This window comes from Homo sapiens, chromosome 14 (assembly GCF_000001405.40).
Source record: "Homo sapiens chromosome 14, GRCh38.p14 Primary Assembly".
Taxonomy (NCBI): Eukaryota; Metazoa; Chordata; class Mammalia; order Primates; family Hominidae; genus Homo; species Homo sapiens.
In genome coordinates this window covers 68,200,563-68,224,237 of record NC_000014.9, presented here as the reverse complement: position 1 = coordinate 68,224,237, position 23,675 = coordinate 68,200,563, and the positions used below count along the sequence as shown (strand labels likewise).

General features: G+C 38.8%; 1 protein-coding gene across 12 annotated transcripts in view, besides 2 other annotated features; it reads right to left on the bottom strand.

Moving 5' to 3' along the window:
• RAD51B (RAD51 paralog B) overlaps nucleotides 1–23,675 on the bottom strand; it is an 863,318-nt gene that overhangs the window by 458,859 nt on the left and 380,784 nt on the right. The gene's annotated exons all lie outside the window — the stretch shown is intronic.
• Nucleotides 13,030–13,309: an enhancer, noted in NCBI's record as "active region_8590". NCBI's record gives its function as "activates an Ori minimal core promoter by ATAC-STARR-seq in GM12878 lymphoblastoid cells {active_cell/tissue: GM12878}" and the evidence as "EXISTENCE:reporter gene assay evidence [ECO:0000049][PMID:35858748]".
• Nucleotides 13,480–13,679: an enhancer, noted in NCBI's record as "active region_8589". NCBI's record gives its function as "activates an Ori minimal core promoter by ATAC-STARR-seq in GM12878 lymphoblastoid cells {active_cell/tissue: GM12878}" and the evidence as "EXISTENCE:reporter gene assay evidence [ECO:0000049][PMID:35858748]".

Sequence of the window (23,675 nt, the reverse complement as noted above, 5' to 3'; positions counted from 1 at the left end):
GCAATCTCAGGATAAGAAAACAAGTAACAAACAAAACAGGCTTCATGCAGGAAGCAGGCTGCATCAAAGGAGGTGGTATAAAAGATCCGGAAAACAAAGTCATTTGCTTTTTACAGTTTAAATAATTTCACCCTCCATAGTTTCACCATTTTTTCTTCATTCTACACCAAGATTGCTTGGTCCCACTCAGCAAACATGGAACTTCTTTGTCTGTGCATGTGTGTTTCTCAGTAAGAAGAACAACAAAAAAACATGGCTGAGGCTGATTTGTAATTTTTCACTGTGGCTTTGAATTGTGGATGATATCAGCACAGCTACAAAAACTGGGTTTGTCAGTTAAGCCTCCCTCCCTGCTGGCTAAGCAGCACAGCATGAAACATAAACCATAAAGAAACAATAGCAGGGCTCAGGGGTTATTTGTTGTTTTCCAAATACATCTTAGTGACAGAATGGAAAATAGTCAATTGAGAATCTAAGCTCATCAAGGCCAAGATTCTCATCAAGGCCAAGATGATTTCATAAGGTAGGATTTTCTTTTCTTTCCTTTTAAAAAATATTTTAAAAAATTTGTTAACAAGGGAGAAAGAAAATGGTTGAATGTCTGAGAAGGGTTTGGCAGAATGGGATGTAAGGCTTAACTACCCAGAAGGAGCTATGAGTTATCATGGCAGAGTTCTCAATCCATATTCCCTTAACAATTACACATGCCTGTAAGCTTGTGCCACACAACAATCTCACAAATAAACTGAGAGAATTAAAGGTCTGGACAGGACTCAGTGAACTTGGACGACTTGGGTGAATACTACATGTATGTGCTTCCAGGCACACACGTGTTTGTGAGTATGTGTTTATGTGTGTTTCTCAACAGAAAATCTAAAAGCTACAAAAAATTCCCATTCATTAGACATGTATTAAAAACATACATATCCTAAATCAAGCCTTGGCCTAGGCAAGGCTAATAAGTAATGAGACAGAAACCGTCTTGGAGGAGATCCTAAACCAGAAGGAAAAAGAAGAATGTAAACATGTTTGATTAAAAATGGGAGGAAAGGACGAGGGAAAGTTTCTACGCCTCAAAATTGTGATTTAGGCAACTGAGTAGATAACGATTTTCCTGTTAGCCAAGGTAGGGGAAGTGTAAGAAATGGCCATTCTGGAAAGAAATACTAACAGTTCAGACATGGGCATTCTGAGTTGGAGTTAGCCCACAACATCTAGGAGATTCCCAGCAGACACTTGGACACGTGGGGCTGGAGCTCAGGAGAAGAGCCTGAGCTGGAGGTAGAGATCTGTGACTGGTCAGGGTATGTGTGCATCCGCAGGAATAAATGAGAGCTCACCCAGGGAAAATGTACAGTAAGAAAAGAAGTATAGATGGTATCTAAAATTCTGTAAGAGATAACGAGTCAACAAATACCTCTTGGGTAACTACTCTGTAGTCATTTTGTGAGGTATTTCCAGGCATAGAAAAGTGAAGAAAATGGAGCTCCAGTCTCAAGGAGATTACTTCTCCTATGGGTATTTGAATAACACAAACATTAATTTATTAATTTATTTTTTTTATTTCAATAGGTTTTTGGGGAACAGAGGTGTTTGGTTACATGAGTAAGTTCCTTGGTGGTGATTTCTGAAATTTTGGTGCACCCATCACCCAAGCAGTGTACACTGTACCTAATGTGAACTCTTTTATCTCTCGCCACCCCAACCTTTTCCCGCAAGTCCCCAAAGTCCCATGCATCATTCTTATGCCTTTGTGTCCTCCTAGCTTAGCTCCCACATATGAGTGAGAACATTCAATATTTGGTTTTACATTCCTGAGTTACTTCACTTAGAATAATAGTCTCCAATTTCATCGAGGTTGCTGTGAATGCCGTTATTTCATTCCTTTTTATGGCTGAGTAGTACTCCATGGTATATACATATACCACATTTCCTTGTATACTCATTGACTGATGGGCATTTTAGCTGGTTCCATATTTTTGCAATTGCAAACTGTGCTGCCATAAACACACATGTGCAAGTATCTTTTTTATATAATGACTTCTTTTCCTAGTAGTGGGATGGCTGGATCAAATGGTAGATCTACTTTTAGTTCTTTAAGGAATCTCCACATTGTTTTCCCTAGTGGTTGCACTATTTTACATTCCAACCAACAGTGTAAAAGTGTTCCCTTTTCACCGCATCCATGCCAACATCTATTATTTTTTTATGTTTTGATTATGGCCATTCTTGCAGGAGTGAGGTGGTATCACGTCGTGGTTTTGATTTGCATTTCCCTGATAATTAGTGGTGTTGAGCATTTTTTCCATATGCTTATTGGCCATTTGTATATCTTCTTTTCAGAATTGTCTATTCATGTCCTTAGCCCACTTTTTGATGGAATTGTTTGTTTTTTCTTGATGATTTGTTTGAGTTCTTTTTAGATTCTGGATATTAGTCCTTTGTCACATGTATAGATTTTGTAAAGATTTTCTCCCACTCTGTGGGTTGTTTGTTAACTCTGTTGATTATTTCTTTTGCTGTGAAGAAGCTTTTTAGTTTAATTGAGTCCCATCTATTTGTCTTTGTTTTTGTTGCATTTGCTTTTGGGTTCTTGGTCATGAAGTCTTTGCCTAAGCCAGTGTCTAGAAGGGTTTTTCTGATGTTATCTTCTAGAATCTTTATGGTTTCAGGTCTTTAAGTCTTTGATCCATCTTCAGTTGATTTTTGTATAAGGTTAGAGATGAGGATCCAGTTTCATTCTCCTACATGTGGCTTGCCAATTATCCCAGCACCATTTGTTGAATAGGGTGTCCTTTTCCCACTTTATGTTTTTGTTTGCTTTGTCAAAGATCGGTTGGCTGTAAGTATTTGTCTTTATTTCTGGGTTCTCTATTCTGTTTCATTGGTCTATGTGTCTATTTTTATACCAGTACCATGCTGTCTTGGTGACTATGCCCTTATAGTTTGAAGTTGGGTAATGTGATGCCTCCAGATTTGTTCTTTATGCTTAGTATTGCTTTGACTCACAGGCTCTTTTTTGGTTCCATGTGAATTTCAGGATTGTTTTTTCTAGTTCTGTGAAGAATGTTGGTGGTATTTTAATGGGAATTGCATTTAATTTGCAGAGGGCTTTTGGCAGTATGGTCATTTTCACATATTGAGTGCAGTGGCGTGATCTCTGCTCACTACCTCTGCCTCCCAGGTTCAAGTGATTCTCCTGCCTCAGCCTCCTGAGTAACTGGGACTACAGGTGTGCGCCACCATGCCCAGCTAATTTTTGTATTTTTAGTAAAGACAGGGTTTCACCACGTTGGCCAGGATGGTCTCGATCTCCTGACCTCGTGATCTGCCTGCCTCGGCCTCCCAAAGTGCTGGGATTACAGGTGTGAGCCACCATGCCTGGCCGGGGTTGAGTTCTTGATTTGATTCTCAGCTTGGCTGCTGTTGGTGTATAGCAGAGCTACTGATTTGTGTATGTTAATTTTGTGTCTTGAAACTTTGCTGAATTCATTTATCAGTTCTAAGAGCTTTTTGGATGAGTCTTTTTGGGTTTTCTAGGTATACCATCATATCATTGGCAAATAGCAATGGTTTAACTTCCTCTTTACTGACTTGGATGCCATTTATTTGTCTAACTGCTCTGGCTAGGACTTCCAGTACTATGTTGAATAGAAGCGGTGAAAGTGGGCATCTTTGTCTTATTCCAGTTCTCATGAGGGATGCTTTCAACTTATCCCTGTTCAGTATAATGTTGGCTGTGTGTGTGTCATAGACGGCTTATATTACCTTAAGGTGTGTCCCTTCTATGCCGATTTTGCTGAGGGTATTAATCATAAAGGGATGCTGGATTTTGTCAAATGCTTTTTCTGTGTCTCTTGAGGTGATCATGTGATTTTTAATTTTATTTCTGTTTATGTGGTATATCACATTTATTGACTGACATATGTTAAACCATCTCTGCATCTGAAACCCACTTAATCCTCAATTATCCCCTCAAATACGCTTTCTAAACTTTCAGATTTCTCTTCTTTCTTGGGAACACCAATTATTCTTAGGTTTGGATGCTTAGCATAGTACCAAATTTCTTGGAGGCTTTGTTCAGTTTTAAAAATTCTTTTTTCTTTGACTTTGATGGATTGGGTTAATTTGAAAACCTTGTCTTTGAGCTCTGAAGGTCTTTTTTCTGCTTGTTTGATTCTATTGCTGGGACTTCATTTCTCTAAGTGTGTCCTTGATTTCCAGATGTTGTGAGAGTTTTTTATTTATGCTATTTATTTCACTGAAGAATTTTCCTTTCATATCCTGTATCATGTTTTTGATTTCTTTAAGTTGGACTTCACCTTTCTCTGGTGCCTCCTTGATTAGCTTAATAATTCACTTTCTGAATTATTATAGTTATTATTCTGGCAATTCAGAGATTTCACCTTGGTTTGAATCAATTGCTGGTGAGCCAGTATGATCTTTTGGGGGTGTTAAAGAACCTCATTTTGTCATATTACCAGAATTGTTTTTCTAGTTCCTTCTCATTTGGGTAGACGATGTCAGAGGTAAGATCTGGGATTCAAGGGCTGCTGTTCAGATTCTTTGGGACACGGGGTGCTCCCTTAGGTGGTGCTCCGCTCTCAGGAATGCGGCTTCCTGAGAGCCAAACTCTAGTGATTGTTTTGGCTCTTCTGGGCCTAGCCATCTAGTGGAGCTCTTGGGCTCTGGGTTGGTACTGGCGAGTGTCTGCAAAGCGTCCTGTGATGTGATCTGTCTTCAGGTCTTGCAGCCGAGGATACCAGTACCTGCTCCAGTGGAGGTAGCAGGGAGTGAAGTGGACTCTCTGAGGGTCCTTTGTTGTGTTTTTGTTTAGTGAATTGGTTTTGTGTTAGTTGGCCACTGGCTAGAAGGTGACACTTTCAAGAGTGCATTAATCCTATAGAGAGGATGCAATTGAATGGGATAAAAGAAAAGAAATGCTATGGAATAGATGAAGTCTACCAAGTTAATGTTAAAATAATCACTTTAAAATAATTCCAATTTCCTAGCGGTTTCCTTCATAGTGCATCCTCATGGGAGAAAAAAATTATCAAATTCTCCTGTTCCAAAGGAATTGAGAAGCTCTGATACGCAAGATTATGGTGCTCTGTCAGCTATGCTGCTCTGCCGGGAGTTTTAGCTATTTAGAAGTTCCCTTTCTCTTTATTAATCTTTTCAGTATTTTGCAGGTTTTCCCTAAATATGAAAGTATCTCTGCTGTCAGACTTATATCCAACTACCCAGACCATCAGGCTGCAGAAATTTTCCCATTGTCCTGTCACCAGACTTGGTACTTTACCGAACCATTCTGCTCCCCTATCACTGTCCATGACCACATTTTTGGCTGCATAATCTATTATATCTAATAGTGTCAGGTTGTAATATTGTGGCTTGATAATATATATACACTCTCCCCACTATCTAACACATCATACCTTCCAGTTATACTGAAAATTCCACCAATTCATCCTTTTAGATTATATTGTAAACTATTTTAGTTGCCTATTTTTTCAACAGAGAAGTATAAGTTTTCTGATATAAGCAGGGCAGTTTTTCACAGTTTTTAACTATGTGTTTTTCATCTCTAAAGAAAGATTCATATATTGATGTCATAATTATGCATTTGAAGTTTCTGTCTCTTTATTAAATAGCTATGAAATCAATGCTAATGCCACATCAATAGCACTTACATTCAGGTAATAGCAAAATTAAGTTATCACACAGAGATTAGCAGGCTTTTCAGCAAGCACATATTTCTCTAGTGCTCATCCTCAGAGTATCAAAAATACTACTGATAGCCATAAAAACTGTTAATGAAATGTACTGCCAACTGCCAATGATATTTACAAAAAGTAGGCATCTGGCCTTGCTGAAGCCAGCATTAAAGTTTGATTAGAAATGAGCCAGGCAATATTATATCTTTTTCCTAACCCCTGGTACTCACTTGGAAAGGGGATAAGGGTATGGGGTTAACATCAAATAATCTTTACAAGTCAGAACAGAACAGGTCTTAAAATTGTTTTTGGCTTCATTGCCTCTGGGTCAGCTGCTGAAACAGAAGTCAAGCTGTGACTTATAGGCTTACATTAATTTTCCTTATGCTGCTTAATTTTAGTAGCATAGTTTCCACATACTCTAATTTCTTGTTTTCAGTGTTGTATGACATGTCTTGTAAATAGTGTGAAGTTGATTTAACTGTACAACATTAAAGTTATATCCCCACTAGGTCTATAATCTAAAGACCTGTTACTTACAGATAAGGAATAGTTCTGACTTCTGGTAACTACTGAGAATTATGAAGAAATCCAGCAAGGCCCTCTTACTTATTAGAGACTAATCTTAAACAAGAAGGCTTTGCTAAATTATACAAAGTTGTCCTTTCAAAGTTAAGTAACAAACACTTTATACTCTAGACCCTGAGTCTTCCATGACTTCCTCTGTTTTAGAAAAATATTCTATGAGTGCCCGACTCTCTGCTCCAAATTCTTCTGGTTTCATTCCTCTACAAAGGCTATGAGAGTCAGGCTTATATTAAATTTAATTTGGCCCATAGCCACACAAGTCCCATCAAGAAAAAAATCTTGAGAATGCCACTCTGGGACAGGGACTGTACATTTTCAGTGTTCAGAACAGACCCCTGTAGGATGCTTCACACAGTGCTTCCCCCCATACCACAATTCTTGACTCTGAGTGGGTAAAGAACTCAACTCTCAGTCAGTCTGATGGGCCTGAACCCACTTCCCCTGGACCATGCACCCGCATCATAGAGTACCGACTAATGAAAATAGCAGTTATGTTCTTGATCAGGAGGCCATTATCCACTTTCTTTATAAAAGTGCCATAAACTCCATATTGATTGGCCAGAAAGATATGCCTTTACATTGCGTAGGATTAAGCTCACAGAGGTCTATAGATAACTGATAACATAAGATTTTAAGGGGGAGGAGGGCTGGATTTAGAAAAGAGGAGATGAAGAATGGTCTGAAAGCAGCAGTGGGGAACAAGAAAGAGGACACCTAGCCCACCTCCAGGCCTTGTCATAGGAGACTGGGGAAGATAACACTACCACCACTTAGGAGAGCAGCAGGGGAGGCAGCATCCTTAGGCGACAGCCACAGTTCAGTTTAGAGTGGGAAGGTGAAAGGACTGTTCTGAGAAGGGGTTGAGAACACAGGAGATCTTGCCAATGACAGATTCTGAATTCCAGAGGACACAGGACTTGGGGAGAAACGGAATAGAAGAATTAGAGTCTGGGAGGTAAAAGGTTTCCTACAAGTCAGGCTTCTTACAGTGACTAATCTCAACATTGATCAAAGGCCTCATGAAATAAGATTGTTTGAGGCAAATAGTAGTGATTAGGCTGAGAGGGGGGTCGGACAGGGATTACTGTCCAGGCTCCTCTTGACCCCTGTTGATGGAGGTGAGGAAGTCCAAGGAAAAGAGCCCTATCCAAGTATTTACACCCCTCCTAATCCCTGCTGATGGAGGAGGTGATATGTAAATCCATAAAACAGAGGAATATTATATATACTTTGAAATACTTCTTTGTAATTCTAGATTTAATTTTATGGCAAGAAATAAAAAGATAAAGGAACCACTGGGATAATAGAACTTAGATGGGATTCTTTAAGAAGACTTTGACAGCCTTATTTGGGAAATCTTTCAGGGAGACTTAAAGACATTTCATGGCTTTGGAGAAACTGAATGATATATTTGATTTGCTACACTCTTTTCCAACACATTAAGGTAGAGTTCACTTTAGGAAAGTTATCACATGTCCTTAAGATTCAATTTCCTTAACTGTCAGGAGGTGATAATAATACCTATCTCCTAGGGCTGTCATGAGGATTAAGTGAAGCAAACACAAGCACAGCACCTACCATACAGTTCACTGCCAATAAACCCTTAACGACCTTTTTCATTTGTTCTCTCTAACAAACGCAACGCATGAGTCAAGTGTTATCTCCAGTTTAAAATAAAGAAATAGGTTTTTAGAGAGCTTCAGTAACTCACTTAAAGTCCCTCTTTTAGGAAGAGACTAAGCTGGGATTTCCAACTCTGCTTGGGCTGATGCCAAAGGTTGGTCTGAGCTCTTTGCATTGAACCTCACTGACTTTCCCATTTGTTTTTCTGCTACAATTAATATAAGAACTTATTTTCCCCAAATTAGTTCAGAAACATATTGCCCTTATAAATGCCAAAAGTAGTAAAATAGGTGTACCTGGCATAAACCCACATGTGAATCACTATGAGACAAGAACCACCTGCATTTACTGGTGGTGGTGGTGAAGAATAAACAGAATATGAAACAACACTGGGCACTTAAAAAAATCCCATAAGAGCCTCAGATTATCCTTGGTACTGAGTAAGTTCCTCTATGTTACAAAAGCAAAATTCGGCTCAGCTTTCATTTGTTTCCTCTTTTTGTATTGAAAAACCCCAAAGTTAATGAAAACCAGTGAAGCAGCTACAGGATCTAGAAGATGTGCTAAGCAGTCTAAAGACAGGTTCTGGCCCTGCCTCAGCTACTAGGCAGCCAGTGCCTTTGGGCACGTTCATAACCTCTCCAGTGGTAACAACCTAGTGCTTAAGAGTATGGATTTCAGAACCAGAAAGCCTGGGTCTAATTTTGGTTCTTCTACTTAATACTGCATGACCTTGGGCAACTAACACTTTGAGCCACAGTTTCCTCATCTCAAAATGGGGATAATAGCACCTAACTCCCGGAACTATTATAAGGATTAAATGCACTACTGCAGGTAGTTGGAACAGATTGGTGCTCAGAAAACATTTGTTAATTGTTCCCACCACCACTCTCTGAGTTCCATTCTCCTTATTTCTGAAATGGGTACAATAATATCTGTCTTGCTTCCTCTTCTCCACCTTCCAAACAGGATTATTTGTGATGATTATTGTGGTAAAAGAGAAAAGAGAAAAACTGAAGAGGAAGATGAAAACAACCTTCAAATATTAAGATAGTTATATGATAAGGGAGAGTAGACGCCATTGGTGTCTAAGAGATTAAAAAATCACTTTCTTCTCATTCCCTATTGAGAAACTTTGTAAAATATAAAAGGCCATATTAAGAATATAGGGTTATTATGATGATAACTCAGGAGAGAATTGAACATACTATCTTTGTCATTTGAGGCAATGGAGATAATTAATCTTCTTCAAGTTTTTTGAAAATGGTAACTAAATCCTAAAAGTCCTAAATACCTAGCTGAGGAAAACAAATTGTTCTTCAGCTTCTCAGAATATCAAGTTCTTTTTTCCATAATATAATTAGAACCCCCAAGGATTCATTTAATTCACAGTATAAAGGCAAAACAACAAAGTTGAAATAAAAGAAGGCTGGTTTCACAGGTTGCCCACAAAACTGAGAATTTTTTACTACAGCACAATGCAATAAAGAGGCTTACAAATTGAGTCCTGGGGGAAGGACACGAGCTGTATTTGTTGCATGTGGGTATAAGAGGCCAGAAGTTGGCCTCTTCTATTCTGTGAAGTGCCATGTGCATAAATTTGTAGACTGTAATTCCCTTTAACTCAAAACACTCGTGAACAAACAGTTGGAACAAAGCCACCTCCAGAACATGATGAACCATAGCACTTAGAACACTGATCATCTCTCATTGCTCAAACAAATAAGCCTTTAAAATACTGACATGCTTTACTTGGAGTTTTTTTATTTATGCGTGTCTTAACTGATTTCAAAAGAATCTTAGGGAGTGGGGGCCGTAGAAGTAATCTAGACATCCCTCCCCTCCACCTCCCCATGCTAGAAGATTCTTTTTCACATCATTCTGTACAGAGGCCAAACATTTCAGAGATAAGAGTGCTCCATTGGCTTGGTTGCCCCACTGAAGTTAAAGTTGGTAAGTACCAGGGGTAACACAATTCCCCTGCCTAAGGTTTCCATGAGTGGCCTCCTGCTAGAGTAACATTTTGATCTTTTTTGTTTCAGCCCACTTCAAGGATACCAAAAAGAATTTTTGTGCAGATATGAACTAGGTTTCCTCCTCTCTCATTCACAGTCGAGAAGTCAGGTGCACCCCTGGCTTCAGGATGCACACTTTCTCCTTCTCCTTCACACAGGAACTGCCCTCCTCCTGCAAACAACAGTTGTCCAGGGCCTTACCTGACTCTGAGAGTGTGTTTAACTAGGGAAGGGTATAAAAGGCCTGATTGTAGCCACAGATCAGGCCACATTCTCTAATATGGTTTTACTGGAATAAAGCTGACATTTTGTTCTCCATCAACCTGATGCCAGAGTCCATTTCTCAACAGGGAATGAGAAGTGATTTTTTTACTCTCTTAGACACCAATGGCATCTACTCTTTCTCATCATGTAACTATGTTAATATTTGAAGGTTGTCTTCATATTCCTCTTTGGTTTTTCTCTTTTCCAGCCTGACATTAGTTCACCGTTTTTCCTCTTAGGATGTAAATCCAGACCTCTTATTCTCCTGATTATAATGGTCAAGGACCCCCTTAATGACAGACCTGACCTAGTACTCTGGACATGGACTCTTAGAGAAGAACTACTGCCACCATGATCCATGATGCTATATTCTAATAATGCACCCTCCTATTAGTTGTTCTTTTTTAAAAGTAGGTATACGTTAGTATTGAATCACATTGAGTTTCCCACCAACTAATGTCCCTAAATCTTTTCCTTATTACTTGCTATCAACCTAAGCTTCCTCCTTCAAGACTTAACATACTATTTTGTTAACCTTAGCTTAGGACTTTACATTAATCTGTGTAAAATTCTGACTCACTGGTTCTAGTAGCATAATACAGTTATGAGCATGGGCTTTGGTGATAGACAAATGGTCCTCTGCCATCTGTGCCTCTTATTGGCTGTGGGACTTGGGTAAATGACTTAGCATATCTGTGCCTCTACATCTATCTATAGAATGGAATATTACTAGTATACACCTCAGAGGGTCACTGTGAGGATTAAATGAGAGAAGTCATACAACACATTTAGCATTTTGCCTGGCACACAGTAAGTACTCAATAAATGCTACATATGGTTGTTATTAGCAAATCCGCCCATCAACCTACACAGATCTTTAAAAAATCCTATCTCACTTGTTGCAAAAGCACATTATTTGTGCTTTCGTCAGAAATTTTTAATGAGAAAATTGGATAGAACAGCATCACTAGACAGGTTCCTGAGGCTTACCCTGAGGACCCCTCTCCAGATGGACATTAGTCCATCCATCAGGTCAAAACTGCCAGTGGACATTTGTTCAACCAGCTATGAATCTACTTAACCTCAACAAGACAACAAGAGTATCATAAAAATCTTAGCCAAACTCCTCCCAGAAATAAAAATCTATCCCTTGACATTTCCATAACCAATAAGATGAACTGTGAAAGACTTTAAGGATGTTAGAAATAGGAATGTTTTGTTTTCAATGAGCTCATATTGACTCCTAATAATCACATTTTTCTCACACGTAATCATTCAGTAATCCACTCTAAAAATTTGCTGAAGATCAATGTCCTGTGCATTCTGGAACATGTCTTCTTCTTCACTCCATTTCTTCAAAATTAGGATAGTGTCCAGTGCCATTTTCCATTACTATGACACCAAACCCTATTGCTATCATTTCTCATAAATGATGTGATTACACTGGCAAATTCTGTCACTACCCAGTGCTGTGGTTCCAATGGAAAGTCCCCAGTAGTGAGTTAGGAGGGTTCTAAACCAGTCCAAATTGTTCAGCAAACTGCTGACCACCCAAAGGACACACATGGTGGTATTTACCTTGCTGCTGGTGCTGCTGTTGTTGCTGCTGCTAACAGCTCTATGTAAGGCTCTGAGTCAAGTATTTTACATGGATTGTCTAATTTAATTCTCAAAACAGCCCTCTGAGGTCAGTGTAAAGATAATATCCTTTTTAGAGCGGGGTCTTAGGTCATACAGCATGTAAGTGGCTGACCTAGTATTCAAACCCAGTTCAATCAGATTCTAGAGCCAAACTTCCAACCAAGTGCCATATTATCTCCCTTTTTTACTAAATGGCACTATTTCATTGTATGAACTGTACAGCTTGGGTCCAGTCCCAGCCTTGCAGGCACAGAAATTTGACCTTGTCAGTATCCCAGAGTTGAATAGACTTAGGCATGATGCCTTCCCCTGACGAAGTTCACAACAAACTGGTGGAGCAAACGAGAATGCCAATGTGTTGATTTACAACAGTTATGTATCTGTCATACAGACCATAACAATCTGACCAGAGCATTTTTCCCTTTAGAGGGTTCTACTTACAGAGGCAAACTGTAAACACAAGACATCATAATAGGAGGCATTTGCTATAGAACTTGAATGTTAAATTGAATTTCCAACAAAGAAGGACTTGCCAGTGACACTGAAACTTTGAAGACTACCAACATTCACATTTCTATGGACAGTTACTGTGGGTACAGGGCACAACCAGTGTTTGCCTCTGGGTGCTTCTGATGTCGACCAACCCCCTTTCTGACACACTGGTGCATTACTTACGTCTAGGCCAGTCTTTGGCCTAGAGACAATGACTTTCCTTAGGTGACTTTCCACAACTATGCTCTGATATCTGATGGTTTTATATATTAATTTATTTCCCAACCAAGTTGTTGAGTAACCTTCCCCACCATATCTAGTCTACAATCTATAATATAATTCACTCTGGCCTAAGGCCTTTAATTCATTTAAGAAAGCTAGGAGCTCTCCTACTTTCTTATGTTTTATTTTTCTTTTTTCCCCCTTAAAGCCATGTATACCATATTCAGTTGGCAACACAAAAGAGGTGCTACAATAGTGAAGGTGGTACAAAAACAGGACCTGAGATGTTCTTTTCATTCTTCTATCTTCTCCAAACATTGGTTTCAATGGGGAAAGCGGGTGGAGGGAGGGCAATGTGATTAGAGAGATTCTTGCAGGCAGGGAGCAAGGCCCTTGAACTAAAAGTGGAAGTAGCCTTATATTCAGATAAATCAGTCACTAGGCACTGGGTGGGGAGGGGAAAGGGTCACAAAGAATGTTCTGAGCTAGGCCACTTAATGATTTTAGACATGCCTACCTAGGAAATGCACCATGTGGCAATGCTCTTGTTCTGACCACAGCACATTAGTCAGAGAAACATCCTCAGAGAGAAGATCAAGGAAGACAAGGCACATGTTTGAGTGTGGGAACACAACTGACACTAAGTGAAGCTTGACAACCTGAAAATGAAAGTGACTGGAAATGAAGTGAAACCATTCTGTTAGTAAAGAATGGAATGCGAAAATGAAATGAACATTTTAAATAGAGCACACTGCCCTTCATTTTACTTGGTGACTCAGCCTGGGAGTTTCTGTAATACATACAGAATTCTGTTTGGTGAAGTGACCTACTTGCTCTTTGTGGGCGACCATATCGTGAACAGCTGGGGAGTAACTCACTCCACGTCAACATGATACTGATCACAAGCGCATTTCCTTGCTTTTGCAGAGTGCAATGGAGATTTCAAAGCACTTCTTCCCAAGTATTTTCTCCTTTAATTCTCACACAAACTCTGTGAGATTGTTGTCCATTTTGTTACAGGTAAGAAAACTATTTTAAGTTCAGTGTTTTTTCCATGATACTACAGCAGTGGCAGTTACTACTAGAGCTCATGCAGAATTCACTGAAGGCCACCAAGACACAAGACACACACAATGGTCATTCCATCACCCTTAAGTAACCTAAGGCCTGGTCATGTATATACATAGAATGGTATGTTACCATCCCTAATATCTTTAAGATCAAACCCACATGTACAAGAACATTTTTAAGGTAGTCCTATCTATTTGGCTCCAGAGTATTTGAATACTGCAATATAAATACTGATCACCTTTATTTGCTTCAGGCATGGTGTATAAAAATTGTCATCCCATTGAATAAATCCCTTGTTACCTGGTCTCAACGTTCCTAACTATAGAACTATTCTAAAGATATTCCTGGCTGGGTGCGGTGGCTCACACCTGTAATCCTAGCACTTTGGGAGGCTGAGGCAGGTGATTACCTCAGGTCAGGAGTTAGAGACCAGCCTGGCCAACATGGTGAAATCCTGTCTCTACTAAAAATACAAAAATTAGCTGGGCATGGTGGCGTACGCCTGTTGTCCTAGCTCCTCAGGAGGCTGAGGCAGGAAAATCACTTGAACCCGGGTGGCGGAGGTTGCAGTGAGCTGAGATGGCGCCACTGCACTCCAGCCTGGGTGACAGAGTAAGACTCTGTCTCAAAAAAAAAAAAAAAAGGTATTCCTAGAGTATGTTTCGCTCAGACTAATACAGCCTGATGAAATTCCAGTGCCAAATAAGGAAAAAGATCGTGTGCTCATGGAGGAATATTACTGCCTGGCAAGAAGCTTCCTTTAATACCACTTAAAAAGATTAGCAGGAGGAAGAAAATCACGATTACAATAAAAGAATTATCACTAAAATTTCTCAGTGCAATTCCTTTCTTTGATGCCTAAACACAGGACCTTCTATTCTAGCAAGATGGTAGTTAAGGCATGTGTATCCGAAGGGCAGGAGATCCCTAAGTGGGTACAGAATATCTTACAATCATCTTCCCAAAAGTAGATTAAAAGTGGACTGGTGCATTTTTCAGATCTAAATATTCTCCTTTCTCTTCGCCCTCACTTCTGCTCTTTTAAATGTTGGAAAAAAAAATGAACAAGGCAACAAAGAAAATTTTAAAATGCTCATGGAAAAACTCATCTTCTAGAAGGGAATCTTAGTGGGAGGGACAATTCCTCTCAGAGAGTTATCAGTGAAGCTGTGAAAATATGAGGCCCTGGAAGCCAGAGGTGTCACCCAACAAGGCTGCAGCAAGGACAATTAGCAATGGCTGCTGTGCCCTCTGTCACTGCCTCAACTTAGAAAGGATGTCTTTGTCAGCCTCAGGATACTTAGCATGGTGCCTACCTCACAGAGAGTTCTATAAATAATTGCTGAGTGAAATCAGATGAAATGGAAACAGTTTCAACATGTCCCAAAAGTATTAGATACTTGAGTGCTAGAGTGGAATTGTTCTCTATTGGAAGAAAAGAAAAAAATATACCATTTTGAGTTGCAAGTCTTCAAGTCTTGCAATGTGAAGGATGACAAAATCTTCCTGATCTCCAAACTGGGTCACCTATCATGAAAGAGGAAAGCACTTCTGCAAAGTGCTACACCCTAGAAAACATCTTAAACCACTCAACAAAACAAGATTTCACCTCAAGGGAAGACTATCGAAGATCTCCACAGATTCCATTCAATTCAGTAAAGATTTCACTTTCAGATTGCCCATAGAGGTTGCCTGTGGGTGCTGGCTACTCAACTGCTGCTGAGCACAGTGCAACTCTATCATAATGCAGCTTGTCATCCCACAGATGTAATATCCACTAGGGTATAATATATAACCCCAATGAGTTTTACTGTTGAATAGAGATGCTGTAATGTATGGTGCAGCCACAGACCTGCATGGAGGGTCAGTTAACCTGAGTTCAAGCTCTATCATTTTCCAGCTGTGTCCAGCATGGACACATTTTATCTCTCTGAGCCTTGGTGTTTTCCTGTGGAAAGCAAGGGGCTTAAAGCAGATAACCTCAAAGATCCTCTCTAGCTTCTAACATTTGTAATATTCCATGACTCTGTGAAGAAAAGCAACTAAAATTAAACCCTTTATTGTTTATATACTGCATAGAAAACAAGTTGATACATCAGAAGGTCACACGGACATGATCCTGTTAGAAAAACCAGCCCTTTCTGTGGCTGAAAGGAATGAGAATATCTTGGCTTTCAAAGTGGGCAAAGATTTGGTTTGGACTTCTCTCCAAAAGAAAGCATGTCTCAGCAGTCAAAATGATGCCAGTAGCCACAGGCTGGGTCATTGCTTTTAGTGAGGCCCAGCAGGCACAACACAACTTTCTTAATTACCATTACTATAACCTTTACCACACCTTGTTTTTCTTGGGGACTCTCTTGGTCAGGTAATCTGGGTTAGATCCAACCCAATTTATAAAATTTGAGGCTTTTCCCACTGTAGGTAAGATTACATGCTATTTTAAGAAACCTCTTGGGGGATGAGGAAATATGTTGTTTTTTTTTTTAAATATTATACTGTATATCGATTCCAAATGCTAGCTGAACTTTTAAAGAAAAACATGAGTTTCCCTAAAAATAGCCTGTCTACAATGCCTCTTAGACTTGGGCACTTTATACACACAGTATAACTTGCTTAGCCTGCAGTTAGAAATAAAATAATATTTAGTGAACACATTTAAAAGGTTAAGAAAAGCTAAATGTAAATGTCCCCAAAACATTAAACATTAATTAACGTGAGCTGACTTGTTATTTAAAAGTTATATTCTCAAAAAAAAAATCTCAAATGAGTTCCTAAATCCAGATTTAAAAACCTTTGGTAACCAAATATCAAATCCAAAGGCCCAGTCTCGGTCTTCAATTTTCCTTGACTATTCTGCAGTATTGGACTGCTGGAATTCTTTCTAATCCTGACCACCATGACTCTACCTAGTACTGGCTCCCCTGCTTCTTTGACTTCACTCTCTACATCTCTTTCCCCAGGCTATTCTTAATTTATCTCCTTCTCCTACCATAACTTTTTAATGTATCACAAAATGCAGAGACATCCTCTGCTCTTTTCTCTTTTAGTATCTTTTTCTTACAGTCTTGCCTTTGGATTTGGCAAACTCTAGATGTATTTTCTCCTAACTCTGTGTGGATGACTTCCTAATCTTAATCACTATGCTTCACCCTGTCATGTGAATTTCGATTTTCTATCTTCCCCCACTGCAAGCTGAACATCTCTACCATTTTGCCTTATTATTTCAAATTCAGAAGCCATGTAAAACTGAATTGGGCAAGTAAGAAACCTGTGGGAATGAATTAAAATTGGAGATATCAATGAATCAATTCATGATTTCTAAAATATGCATATATGCATATGTAGGTGTATATGTGTGTGTATTTATATATATATGTATGTGTGTGTGTGTGTGTATTTTTCCCCAAGTTCACTTCACTGAAAGAGCCAAGAGCCAAGATACCTCAATAGTAATGAGCACACCTATGCCCAGAACTTAGTCTTTAACACTATTTCCACCAGAAAAGAACTGGGGTGGCCGGGTGCGGTGGCTCAAGCCTGTAATCCCAGCACTTTGGGAGGCCAAGGCGGGCGGATCATGAGGTCAGGAGATCGAGACTATCCTGGCTAACAGGGTGAAACCCTGTCTCTACTAAAAATATAAAAAAATTAGCCGGGCGCGTTGGCGGGCGCCTGTAGTCCCAGCTACTTGGGAGGCTGAGGCAGGAGAATGGCATGAACCCGGGAGGCGGGGCTTGCAGTGAGCCGAGATCGCGCCACTGCATAACCGCCTGGGTGACAGAGTGAGACTCCGTCTCAAAAAAAAAAAAAAAAAAAGAACTGGGGTTTCTTGGGAAAATGGGTGATTTCAGAGCTTAGGCAGAGTAGGTACAAGGTGTGCCTAGAATAACTTATGCCAAAAATCAAGGAAGTGTTAAAAAAAAAAAAATAGACGGTGGAGATATGATACCAGAACATACTGGCTAAATCTGAGACAGTTTATATACCAAAATGATCTGGTACAGTATCAACCACTGAAAAGAACAGTGGATTCCATGACCAGTACAAACTGGTAAGAGATGCATGTTTGGATGGAGAGAAGAAAAAGCTCCTGCTTATTAGAAAATGTCTACTGTTGACAGGCGAATGTGGAAGGAATGTCAAAGATGGAAAATCATGATTTTTCAGTCATCTTATAAAGTTTGGACTATACAAGAATCATCAACAGATAATAAATTTGGGGGTAGTGATGAAGAGCAAGCTATTTGTTTCCCACTGATTACTCAGTGCTTTTAAAGGAAAAACAGTACCTACACAAAGGAAAAATTAGACAATGCCTTGACCTGGAGATCAAAATTTACATCACCATGAGTGGGAGATGGACATTATGTGCCTGCAGATGTGATAACTCAAGGACAAAACATCACCTGGATGACAAGGCATAACCTGATTCTAATCATAAGGAAACATCAGACAAATTTTTAAAAAGCAAGAGGGGGGGCTTAAATTCTTTAAAACTGACAAAGTCATAAAAGATAAAGGCTGTAGACATGTTCCAGATTAAAGGAGACTAAAGGAACATGACAACTAAAGGCAATACCTAATCCTATGCTGGATCCTATGCTGGAGGGAAAAAGTGCTATAAACAACACTATTGTATCTTTGAGCCAACTGACAAAACTGGCATATAAATGGTAGATTAGATAGAAGTATTTAATCAAATTTACCAAAGTTGATAACTCTACTAAGGTTATATAACAGAATATCCCCTTTCTTGGAAATACCACACCGAAGTATTTGGGGGTATAGAATCATGATGAATGTAATTTAGCCTCAAATGGCTCAGAAAAATATTATACATATATATGCATATGTAGATCGAGTAAATTATAAAGCAAATGTGGTAAAATATTAGCAACAGGTGAATATGGGTAAAGGTATTTGACTGTTATGTGGACTGTTTTCATTCTTGCAACTTTCTTACTTCCAAATAAAAAGTAAAAAAAAAAGAAAAGAAAAGAAAAGAAAACAACACAAAAAACAACCAAAAAAGCCTGGATTGAAACCTTTTATCTCAGCCCCCAAACAAGCTGTCTCTATCTTTTATTGGCTTTATTATCCTAAGCAGGTTGAAACATTGCACTTGTCCTCAAGAGTCTTCTCTCTCTCACCTCTCAGAGCCATTTCACCACATACTGCCCATTCATCCTTCATGTTTCATATCTATCCCTTCCTTTGAATTCCTACCACTCCCACCCTATTTCAAACATCTATCATTTTACAATAAATTATTGCTACAATTCATCACTCCTAAAATAGGCTTTGTCTATTCAAAAACATCTTACACATATTTATCACATTTGTCTGCAACCATATTATTTTCATTCTGTCACTCATCTCAAATTTCCACTATGGACTGTATAACACCTAAAATAAATAAGTGTCTAACTTCTTAGAACTTAAAAAAATTGAATAGTGAATTAATACATTTTATGGTAGGAAAGAGTTGAAAACACCAACAAGCACACTCGCCTCTCAAAAATCAAAATAACTCATGGTCTCAGAGTATATATAACCACTGCTAACAACTCATTATGTATCCTGTCTGATTTTTTTATTGTCATAAGTGTAAATATATTTCCCAAAATGGGGACCATACTATACATTCTGTTTTATAACCTACTTTTCACTTCTTCCTATATCATGAGTATTTCCCCATTTGAATAAATATTTTTATACAATATGATTTTTAATAGCTATAGAACAATACAGTGTATACTTGAAAGATAATTTACTTCATTAATTATTTGGGAGTTTTTCAATTTTTAATTCTTATAAAGAGCACAAATAAAAATAATTTGTAGATACATACTTGTACTCATCTCTTACTGATTTATCTAGGGTAAACGGCTATTTTTTAAAAAATTAAATCACATCTTCCACCACTTAATGTACACAAACACACTAGAGACATACCTTACTTTATTGTACTCCACTTTATCGTGCTTCACAGATACTTCAACTTTTACAAATTGAAGGTTGTGGCAACTCTGCATCAAACAAGTCTATTAGTGCCATTTTTCCAATAGCATGTGCTCATGCATGTCTCTGTGTGATATTTGGTAATTCTCACAATATTTCTAACTTTTTCAATTATGATTATGTTATTATGGTGACCTGTGATCAGTGATCTTTGATGTTATTCTTGTCATTGTTTGTGGGTGCCATGAACTACACTCATATATGACAGCAAATTTAATTGATAAATATGTGTATTCTGACTGCTCCATTGGCCAGCTATTTCCCCATCTTTTTCCCACTCCTTGGGCCTCTCTATTCCCTGAGACAATACCAATATTGAAATTAGTTCAATTAATAACCTTACAATAGCCTCTAAGTGTTCAAGTGAAAGAAAGAATCACACTTCTCTCATTTTAAATCAAAAGTTAGAGATAATTTAGCTTAGTGAGGGAAAGTCAAAAGCTGAATCAGGCAGGAAGCTAGGCCTCTTGTGCCAAACAGTTGGCCAAGTTATGAATGCAAAGCAAAAGTTCATGAAGGAAATTAGAAGTGCTACTCCAATGAACACATGAATGATAAGAAGGCAAAACAACCTTATTGCTCATAGGGAGAATTTTAGTAGTTTAGCTAGAAGACCAAACCAGCCACAACATTCCCTTAAGCCAAAGTCTAATCCAGAGCAAGGGCTTAACTCTTCAATTCTACAAAGGCTGAAAGAGATCAGAAAGCTGCAGAAGAAAAGTTGGAAGTTAGCAGGGGTTGCTTCATGAGTTGTTTAAGGAAAGAGGCCACCTCTGTAACATACAAATACAAAGTGAAGCAGCAAGTGCTGATGTAGAAGTTGCAGAAATTTATCCAGAAGATCTAGCTAAGATCATTGATGAAGGCGACTCAACTAAACAACAGATTTTTCATGTAGACAAAATAGCCTCATATTGGAAGAAGGTGCCATCTCAGACTGTCAAAGCTCAAGAGCAGAAGTCAATGCCTAGCTTCAGAGCTTCAAAAGACAGGCTGACTCTCTCGGTAGGGGCTAATGCAGCTGATGACTCTAACTTGAAGCCAATGATCATTTACCATTCTGAAAACCCAGAGTCCCTAAGATTTATGCAAAAGCTACTTTGCCTGTGCTCTAGAAGTGGAACGACAAAGTCTGGATGGCAGCACATCTGTTTACAGTATGTCTTAATGAATATTTTAAACACACTGTTGAGACCTACTGCTCAGAGAAAAAGATTTCTTTCAAAATAGTACTGCTCATTGACAATGTTCCTAGTCACCCAAGAGCTCTGATGGAGATACATAAGATTAAGGTTGTTTTCATGCCTGATTCTGTATCCCATGTGTCGAGGAATAATTTCAACATTCAAGTCTTAATATTTAAGAAATAAATTTTTGTAAGGTTATAGCTGCCACAGATAGTGATTCCCCTGATGGATCTTCACAAAATATATAAATTGGGAACGTTCTGGAAAAGATTCACAATTCTAGGTGCCATTAAGAACATTCATGATTCATGGGAGGAGGTCAAAATATCAGCATAAACAGGAGTTTTAAAGAAACTGATTCCAACCCTCAGGGATGACTCTGAGGGGTTTAAGACTGGATGAAGTCACTGCAGATGTGAAGGAAATAGTAAAAGAACTAGAATTAGAAGTAGAGCCTGAAGCTGTGACTGAATTGCTGCAATCTCATGATAAAATCTGATGAGAAGTTGATTCATGCCTGGGCGCAGTGGCTCATGCTTGTAATCCCAGCACTTTGTGAGGCTGAGGTGGGCAGATCACCTGAGGTTGGGAGTTCGAGACCAGCCTGACCAACATGGAGAAACCCCGTCTCTACTAAAAATACAAAATTAGCCAGGTGTGGAGGCACACACCTGTAATCCCAGCTACTGAGGAGGCTGAGGCAGGAGAATCGCTTTAACCCGGGAAGCAGAGGCTGCGGTGAACCAAGATCACACCATTGCACTCCAGCCTGGGCAACAAGAGCAAAACTCCGTCTCAAAAAAAAAAAAAAAAAAAAAAAAAAGACGTTGCTTCATATGAATGAACAAAGAAAGTAGTTTCTTGAGATGGGATCTACTCCTGGTGAAGGTGCTGTGAACATCATTGAAATGACAACAAAGGATTCAGAATATTATATAAACGTAGTTGATAAGGCAACAGCAGGGTTTGAGAGGACTGACTCAAATTTTTAAAGTTCTACTATGGGTTAAGTGTTATCAAACATTATGACATGCTATAGAGCAATATTTCATGAAAGGAAGAGTCTATTAATGCAGTAAACTTCACTGTTGACTTGTTTTGAGAAAGTGGCACATCCACCCCAACCTTCAGTAACCACCACCGTGATCAGAGAGCAGCCACTAACATCCAGGCAAAACACTCCACCAGCAAAAAGATTACAACTCACTGAAGGCTCAGATGATTATTAGCATTTTTTAGCAATAAATTATTTTTAATTAAAGTATATACATTGGTTTTTTAGACATAATGGTACTGTACACTTAAGAGTCTACAGTATAGCATTAACATAACTTTGATATGCACTAGGAAACCAAAAAAATTGTGTGAGTACCTTTATTACAATATTCAGTTTTTCTCCATATTCACTTTATTGTGGTGGTCTGGAACCAATCCCTCAATATCTCCAAGATATGCCTGCATGTGCTTTGACACACCTGTGCTTTTACTCCCTTTCTGATGTTGTCTTCATGCCTTTTCTATGCCAATCCAAATCAGAAGCAGGCAACATATCTTAAATGCCTTTTTATCAATATTCTCAAAAAACGGTCATTGACTAACATCCTACATATTCTTGTAAGCCTTATTTAAATCTCTCCTCTTCCACAGAGCCTTCCCTATACCCTCTACAGGCCACAGTCATCACTATCCTTCCTCCTTATCACTGATATAAAAAAGATTGATATACAGTATTTTCTCCCATTGACAGGTGGCAAGTGCCTGCATCTTCGCTTGACAGGTAGGAGAAACATGGTATGAAAAGGTGACTTACTTGCTAATGGTCTGGTTCTAGGACATAGTTCTACAGCCTATGTCCTAAGATGAGCCATAAGAAGAGTATTCCCTGGGAAAGTTTTTGTGATACCAGACCTGTCCCTGTTAGGCCTTAAATGTTTGATGAAAGCACAAGTTGATTGGATTAGCTTAAGGTTAAAACCAAATGGTTTTTAAATTAATTATATGCATGAGTACTTCAGGTTAATGAGTTCTCTTTCCAGAAATATCACTAAGATTCAAAACTGTTCTTTTCATTGCTTTCAGGTAGATATGTTTACTTAAAAATAAAACCATGCTAAAAATTGTAACCAAGAAAGAGCTTTATAGAACTTGCTCTCATAAGATGCAAATCATTTATATTTATAAAATCAATAAATTACATACACGCTTTTAAAGTGTGTAACAGTACTTGAGAAAAAAATTTTCTCTTAAATAATTTCAATATGAAACTCCGAATATGATTTGTATTTTTTAAAAAATTCATGAGGAATTAAAATAGTAATGAAACTCTACTACTTAAGCAAAGCAATCAGGACTACTTTCGACTTTGGGAGGGAAATCTTAGTATTACCAGTAGCTTCTGGGGATCCAGCTGCTGCCTTTGTACAATTATAGAAAAAACCATGTGGATGGGCATGGTAGCTTACACCTGTAATCCCACTTTGGGAGACCAAGGCGGGAGGATTGCTCGAGTCCAGGAGTTTGAGACCGGCCTGGGCAACATAGCGAGACCTCATCTCTACTAAAAATAAAAAAAAAAATTAGCTAGGCATAGTGGCACATGCCTGTGATCCCAGTTACTTGGGAGGCTGAGGTGGGAGGATCACTTGAACCTGCAAGGTTGAGGCTACAGTGAGCCGTGATCACACCACTGCACTCCAGCCTGGGTGACAGAGTGACACTCTGTCTCAAGAAGAAAAAAAAATTATTGATTTATTTTACCAACTTCCTTCAAGTAAAATTGTATGCGTAAATTTACTTAGTTTTGTGTAAGCCATCACTAAAGCTGTCTTTGAGGC